At 42.4% G+C, this 7819-nt stretch overlaps 1 annotated feature.

Moving 5' to 3' along the window:
• Positions 714-1353: an enhancer, noted in NCBI's record as "OCT4-NANOG-H3K27ac-H3K4me1 hESC enhancer chr9:122388723-122389362 (GRCh37/hg19 assembly coordinates)". NCBI's record gives its function as "activates a minimal SCP1, AML or CMV promoter by ChIP-STARR-seq in naive H9 embryonic stem cells {active_cell/tissue: H9 hESC(naive)}" and the evidence as "EXISTENCE:reporter gene assay evidence [ECO:0000049][PMID:30033119]".

Raw genomic sequence — 7819 nt, forward strand, 5'->3', positions numbered from 1 at the left:
CCTGACCTTTCTCTCTGGCTGCCCTTAACATTTTTTCCTTCATTTCAACTTTGGTGAATCTGACAATTATGTGTCTTGGAGTTGCTCTTCTCAAGGAGTATCTTTGTGGCGTTCTCTGTATTTCCTGAATCTGAACGTTGGCCTGCCTTGCTAGATTGGGGAAGTTCTCCTGGATAATATCCTGCAGAGTGTTTTCCAACTTGGTTCCATTCTCCCCATCACTTTCTGGTACACCAATCAGACGTAGATTTGTTCTTTTCACATAGTCCCATATTTCTTGGAGGCTTTGCTCATTTCTTTTTATTCTTTTTTCTCTAAACTTCCCTTCTCGCTTCATTTCATTCATTTCATCTTCCATTGCTGATACCCTTTCTTCCAGTTGATCGCATCGGCTCCTGAGACTTCTGCATTCTTCACGTAGTTCTCGAGCCTTGGTTTTCAGCTCCATCAGCTCCTTTAAGCACTTCTCTGTATTGGTTATTCTAGTTATACATTCTTCTAAATTTTTTTCAAAGTTTTCAACTTCTTTGCCTTTGGTTTGAATGTCCTCCCGTAGCTCAGAGTAATTTGATCGTCTGAAGCCTTCTTCTCTCAGCTCGTCAAAGTCATTCTCCATCCAGCTTTGTTCTGTTGCTGGTGAGGAACTGCGTTCCTTTGGAGGAGGAGAGACGCTCTGTGTTTTAGAGTTTCCAGTTTTTCTGTTCTGTTTTTTCCCCATCTTTGTGGTTTTATCTACTTTTGGTCTTTGATGATGGTGATGTACAGATGGGTTTTCGGTGTGGATGTCCTTTCCGTTTGTTAGTTTTCCTTCTAACAGACAGGACCCTCAGCTGCAGGTCTGTTGGAATACCCTGCTGTGTGAGGTGTCAGTGTGCCTCTGCTGGGGGGTGCCTCCCAGTTAGGCTGCTCGGGGGTCAGGGGTCAGGGACCCACTTGAGGAGGCAGTCTGCCGGTTCTCAGATCTCCAGCTGCATGCTGGGAGAACCACTGCTCTCTTCAAAGCTGTCAGACAGGGACATTTAAGTCTGCAGAGGTTACTGCTGTCTTTTTTTCTGTGCCCTGCCCCCAGAGGTGGAGCCTACAGAGGCAGGCAGGCCTCCTTGAGCTGTGGTGGGCTCCACCCAGTTCGAGCTTCCCGGCTGCTTTGTTTACCTAAGCATGCCTGGGCAATGGCAGGCGCCCCTCCCCCAGCCTCGCTGCCGCCTTGCAGTTTGATCTCAGACTGCTGTGCTAGCAATCAGCGAGATTCCGTGGGCGTATAGGACCCTCCGAGCCAGGTGTGGGATATAGTCTCGTGGTGCGCCGTTTTTTAAGCCGGTCTGAAAAGCGCAATATTCGGGTGGGAGTGACCCGATTTTCCAGGTGCGTCCATCACCCCTTTCTTTGACTCGGAAAGGGAACTCCCTGACCCCTTGCGCTTCCCAGGTGAGGCAATGCCTTGCCCTGCTTCGGCTCGCGCACGGTGCGCGCACCCACTGGCCTGCGCCCACTGTCTGGCACTCCCTAGTGAGATGCACCCGCTACCTCAGATGGAAATGCAGAAATCACCCGTCTTCTGCGTCGCTCACGCTGGGAGCTGTAGACCGGAGCTGTTCCTATTCGGCCATCTTGGCTCCTCCAGGGACACTTAGGATTCTTAACTTCCAATGCAAGACAGGTTCTTAGTAACTACAATTCTCCAAGGGTGAAGATTCAGTTGCCATTGATAGGTCAGTTGATATGGAGGAGATTCACAAAATGAAGATCACTGCATAAACTTGACAGACAAGGGACTAATAGTTGTGGCTGCATTTCTTTTCTCAAAGCACAGAAAAGAAAACCTAGCAAAATATACTTTGGGATTAATTAATTTATAAGTGTATCTGCAAGACAGTTCGTTATCCCTAAGTTTATCAAAAATCTTCACTATGCCAAATTTGGGGCTTAGTTTTCATAGCTCATCTTACTAAAACACTCTCATGTAGTTATTCACTCCTGCTTCTTTAAGCACTGTCCCCTAGGACTGTGCACATGGCCCCTAGGACTGTGCACTCCCCTGATTTTCTTCCTACCTCCCAGGGTATTCCTTCTCAGTCTTCATGGATGGCTCCTCTTCTTCTTATTGATCTCTAAATATTACATTCTCTAACCTTCAAATCTGCCCCCACTACCACCACCACCACTGTGACCCTCGCCTCCACCAATGGCATCTTTTGCTCCCAGTTTCTGATAGAAAAAAAAAAAAAAAAACCTTGAATTCACCATGACTTTTACTTCCTCACATCTCACATCCAATCCATCGGAAAATTCCATCGATTCAACCATTCAAACAGAGCCTGAAAAGTCCATGTCACTATCACATTTCACTTGGACAAACTACATAGACATCTAACAGGTCTCCCTGCCTGCACTCTTGTGCCCACATTTGATTGTCTATTCAGTAGTCTGGGATGATATTTTTAAAACCTAACGCCACCTCTATGAGCAAAGTCCTTCAATGGTTTTCCATCAAATTCAGAATAAATTCAAATTCCTTATCATAACCTACAGAGCTGTATATATTAACATGTGCTCCCTCTCTAACCTAATTCTTAGCATTCTTCCAAAGCTCACTCTGTTCTAGATTCACTGCCTGCCTTTAGTTACCATCTATTGCTGCATAACCAATTATTGCAAAACTTAGCGGCTCAAAACTGTAAATATTTATAATCTCTCACAGTTTCTGTGGGTCAGGAGTTTGGGAGCAGCTTAGCTGAACTGTTCTAATTCAAGGTCTCTCACGAGGTTGCAGTCAAGTTGTCCACAGAGGCTGCTTTCATCTGAAGGCTTGATAGGGGCTGGCATATCCACTTGTAGGGTGTCTCACTCACATGACCAGCAAGTTGATGCAAGCCGTTGGCAAAAGGCCTCAGTTCTTCTCCACAAGGACCTCTCTATAGGACTCCTGTGTGTTCCCATGTATAGCACTGACTACTCCCAGAGTGAGTGATCTAAGACACCTAGGCAGAATTGCCAGTGCCTCTTCTTACCTATTAAAGGAAGTTACACTGTCACCTCTGCCATACTCTATTGATCACACAGACTAACTCTGAATCAAGGTGGATGGAAGGAGACTATATAAGGGAAGATATACCCCGAAGCAAGGATCACTGGAGGCCCTATCAGAGCCCAGCTATCCCACCATCTTGCTGTCTTACAGACCTGTATGTGGTAGCTCGTCCTACTTACTGCTTGTTCCTTCTGAATGGAAAGCTCTCTCCTTCAATTTGTACAAGTCTGTTCCCCACTTTTATTCAATTAATTACTTAACATTATTTCTTCAAACCAGGCTTTTCATATCACCTTATCTAAAATAGTCTCCCTCTGTTGGTCAAAGGGTAGAAAGTTTCAGCTATACAGCGAGAACAAGCTCTGGAGATCCAATACACATCATGGTGACTATAGTTAAGACTGTATTGCATACTTGAAATTTACTAAGAGAGTAGGTCTTAAATACACACACACACATACACACAAATGTTGTGTAACTATGCATGGTAATGAATATGCTAATTAGCTTGACTACAGTAATCATTTCACAATGTGTATACGTGTGTGTACCTGTGTGTGTGTATAAATGTATATGGGAAAGTATTAAGAGGGATTGCAGGGCCCCGTCAAAACCCACAGTGGAATAGAGGTTGGTTTGGTGGGCCTGCACTGGAGGCATGGAAGAGCCCTGAACAGGCAGGACTGCCCTTAGAATGCCACTGAGAGGGTCTGGAGCCGGCAAGCCCATGTTCATTGCAGCACTATTCACAATAGGCAAGATAAGGAATCAACTTTAGTGTCCATTGACAAACAAATAGGTAAAGTGTGGTATATATATACAATAAAATATTATTCAACCTTAAAAAAGAAGAAAATCCTGCCATTTGTGACAACATGGATGAACCTGGACAAGATTATGCTAAGTGAAATAAAGGCAGACACAGAAAAACAAATACTATATGATCTCATGTATATGTGGATTCTAAAAAAACTCATAGAAATAGAAAATAGAATGGTGGTTGTCAGGGAATGGGGGTGAGGATAATGGGGAGATGTTGGTCACAGGTTACAAACTTTTTCACTTATAAGATGAATAAGTTCTGGGCATCTAATGTAAGCATGGTGACTATAGTTAATAATGTATTGTTTATTTGAAGTACGCTAAGAGAGCAGTTCTTAAGTGTCCTCAACCCTCCTCCCCCCACCATACACACATACACAATGATAATTACATGTAGGGAAGATGTGTTAATCACTTTAATTGTGGTAACTAGCACATATTGCATATGTATGTCAAACTATCATATTGTACACCTTGAATATATACAATTTTTTATTTGTATAAAATAGCTTGGAAAAGACACATTGCATGCCTTAAATAGATATAATTTTTGTCAATTATACCTCAATAAAAGCTGAAAAATAAATAATTCTCCTCATCGCTATCCCATTACCTTACTTTATCACTTTTCTTAGTAGTTACTATTATGTTCCACAAGGCAGAGTTTTAGCCTATTTTATCCATGGTTAAATCTCAAGTGTCTAAAATAGTGTGCTGTACAAAGTAGATGCTCAGTAAATATCTGTTGAATGAGTAAGTGAAAGAACAAAACCCTAGTCTTGGGACATGAAGAGAATCAACACTTATAAAAGAGGCAGTGTATAGAGAAGTAAACTAATTTATTTCAAAAATATTTATTGAGCCTAATGAACAAATAGCTGGATATTCAAAGAGGTCTAAAACAAAATTTCTGGCTTTCAGGAGCCCCTGGCCAAGCAAGTTTCAAAGATTTCAAGTTTCTGAAGATTAACAGGTTTTTAAGTTGTGTTTCATTGCCTATGGCACACAACATATATAAACGCATTGCCCATCTTGTAACTGAACAGTTTGTAGATCAGATGAAGAAACCCTCTTCTAGCTAGAGCAGATTATGTTGGAGTTAGGCCCCTAACACAGAGGACACCCTTCCATATGCCAGTGATTCAACCTGTGATTCAAGTGGCTAGCACTAAACAATTAATTGAGCCAATAAGATGCTTTTGGAAGTTTGAATGAAGAGTCTCAGAAGAAAATTGCAAATATACAGGGACACTAGAATTCCAGAAACCCTAATACGAAATTGAGATCGATTTAAGGACATAGCAAGCCAAAGGCCTGTGCAAGCTGAAGTTCTGAGGCAGAGACTGTGAGTAAAGACAGAAATCTGGAAAAGAGAGGGGAGAAAGTAGCAAAGGCATAGACAGATGAAGAGGACCCATGACATACAGAGAATGTGAGAGAGGTAGAAAGAGACAAAAAGATAGACGGTCAGAGCCAAACGCAAACACAGAGATCAAAGGACAAAACAGATGGGCCCATTCATTCCTGGAGCTGCTTACTTCCCCCTGTTGGAGGCTTAGTGGTGCAGTTTTCTCCTGGGCTCCTGTGCGCGCAGAAACTTTCAGCCAAAATCTCTTCCACCCTCTTCTTCCTGAGCCAAATTTTGTTATTCTCTCATTTGAGACTAGAAGCACCCTGACAAAAGCAGGCAGTGTCTGGGGGAGATCTATGTGTGCAGATCCCTTCAGGCATGAAATAAGGCTCATGGCCCATGCTTAGCAGGTATTTGTTTTTCCATGTTCCAGGAACAGTGGGGATGGACTTTCTCTGAGTCATCTACCATTTTAAGCAAGCCTTCTCTACCACATAGGGCACTCATGGGCAGAACGAGCTGAGATGCAGCTCAATACAAGAAGTAGAGTGAAATCAAGTTGGAGTTGACCCTCACCCTCTAGACAATGGTAGACAGTGAGTGCCTTCAAGACAGCTTGGTTTGTTCCTCCCTGAATTTATTGTGCCATATACGGATTCTGGCCCATAGTACACGTATGAGTATTCACAAATGACTGAGCAGGTCTGCTTCATGAAGAAACCACAACGCTGGCATATTTTCACTTCTGTGGCTGCTACTGATAATAGCAATAATCATAATCATAATTACAACACCATTTACTGAGGGCCAGCCTCTGTACTAAGCACTTTGTGTATTTATTATCTCTCCTAACACCATTGGTTCCTTTCATGGGTCTTCAATGACTAAAAGATTTCCATGCCAAAATGATACTATTAGATTTATTCGCTCCTTTGCAATGACAAAAATCTTCCTGTTTCCAAGAATAAAAGACACAAGCTTCCAGTCTCTTTTCTCTTCCAGGACTAGCCAGCCTTTGAGGCTTAGACATTAAAAAGTTAGGAAGCCCTGGTTCAGGGAAATAAGATTTAGGATTAGAGGGAGCAGAAGGGGCTCTCTTTAGTAAGATGATAAAATATTCTACCTAGAACTTTAGTATGACTTTATTATGTTGTTCCATAAAGCAATACCAATTAAATTCTATATAAAGGAAGTGGTACATGCTTACGCAGGATTTTTCAACCCTCACTGTGCATTAGAATTACCTGGGAACTTTTAAAAGAACACATGCCTGGATTCAGTAAGGCTGAACAGACTTTTATAGCTTGTGACCCAGCGATTCCAATCCTCAATAGACACTCAACAGAAAGGAAAACACTTTTGATAAGCAAAAGATTGATACAGGAATGTTAGTAGAAGCATAATTTATAATAGCCAAGAATGGGAAAGATGTCCATCAACAGCAGATTGGCTAAAAGAATTGTAATAGATTCAGACAATGAAATGCACTATAGGAACAAGAATGAACAAATCCCTAATATGCTCCACGATGTTGATGAATCCCATAAATACATGAAGCTAGACACTGAAGCATGCCGATTGTATGACTTCATTTATATAAAGTTCAGAAACAGGAAAAATAAATCTCTGCTGTTTTTTATTTTTTTCTACTTTCAACTCTTTAATCATTGTTGTGGCTATTTTGGCCACCCCTTTGGGCCCATCCATTGGTAGTCTCAAGTAGGAGACCAGGATAAAGGGATAACTCTAAGGAGTAAGATTCGACATTCTGGAATCCTTTGGCCCGTCATTCAGTTACTTGCAGGAATCATTTCCTAGAAATGGCGAGGACAGAGCAGCACCTCTGGCCCAGGAGGAGCAACTCCTGCTCATTCTTGGGCTCTGAGTCCCCTGTTGTTCATACCTGTAATCCCAGAACTTTAGGATACTGAGGTGGGCAGATCATTTGAGGTCAGGAGTTTGAGACTAGCGTGGCCAATGTGGCAAAACCCCGTCTCTACTAAAAGTACAGCAACAAAAACTAGCAGGGCGTCAAGCTACATGCCTGTAATCCCAGCTATTGGGAGACTGAGGCAGGAGAATCTCTTGAACCCAAGCAGCAGAGGTTGCAGTGAGCCAGGATCGGTCCACTACACCCCAGCCTGGGTGACAGAGTGAGACTTCATCTCAAAAAAAAAAATCTGCTGTTTAAAATCAGGATAACGATTATCCTTGTGGCAGAATGAGGTGGTAGTGATTGGAAAAGGGTACAAGGGGCCCCCAGCATGCTTCTGGTGCTGATAATGTTCTGTTTCTTGAACTGTGTGCTACATGGGTGTGTGTTTACTTTGTGACAATATGCTGTGCCACATATCATTGTGCACTTTTCTGTATGTCTGCTACAACTTATCAAAATGTTTGCTTAAAATAATACATGCCGAATCCTCACCCTCAAAGGGTGATGATTCGGATGCTGTAAGGTGGGTGGAGACCAGACAGTGACTATTTCAAAAATCTCCCCAGGTGATTCTAATGTGCAACCAACATAAAAATTACTAAATCTCTGGTAAGACAGGACTGGATTTGAGTACTGGTTCTGTCAATTGCTGTGAATGTCACCTTAAGTAAGCAAGCCCATC

Source organism: Homo sapiens, chromosome 9, assembly GCF_000001405.40.
Source record: "Homo sapiens chromosome 9, GRCh38.p14 Primary Assembly".
NCBI lineage: Eukaryota > Metazoa > Chordata > Mammalia > Primates > Hominidae > Homo > Homo sapiens.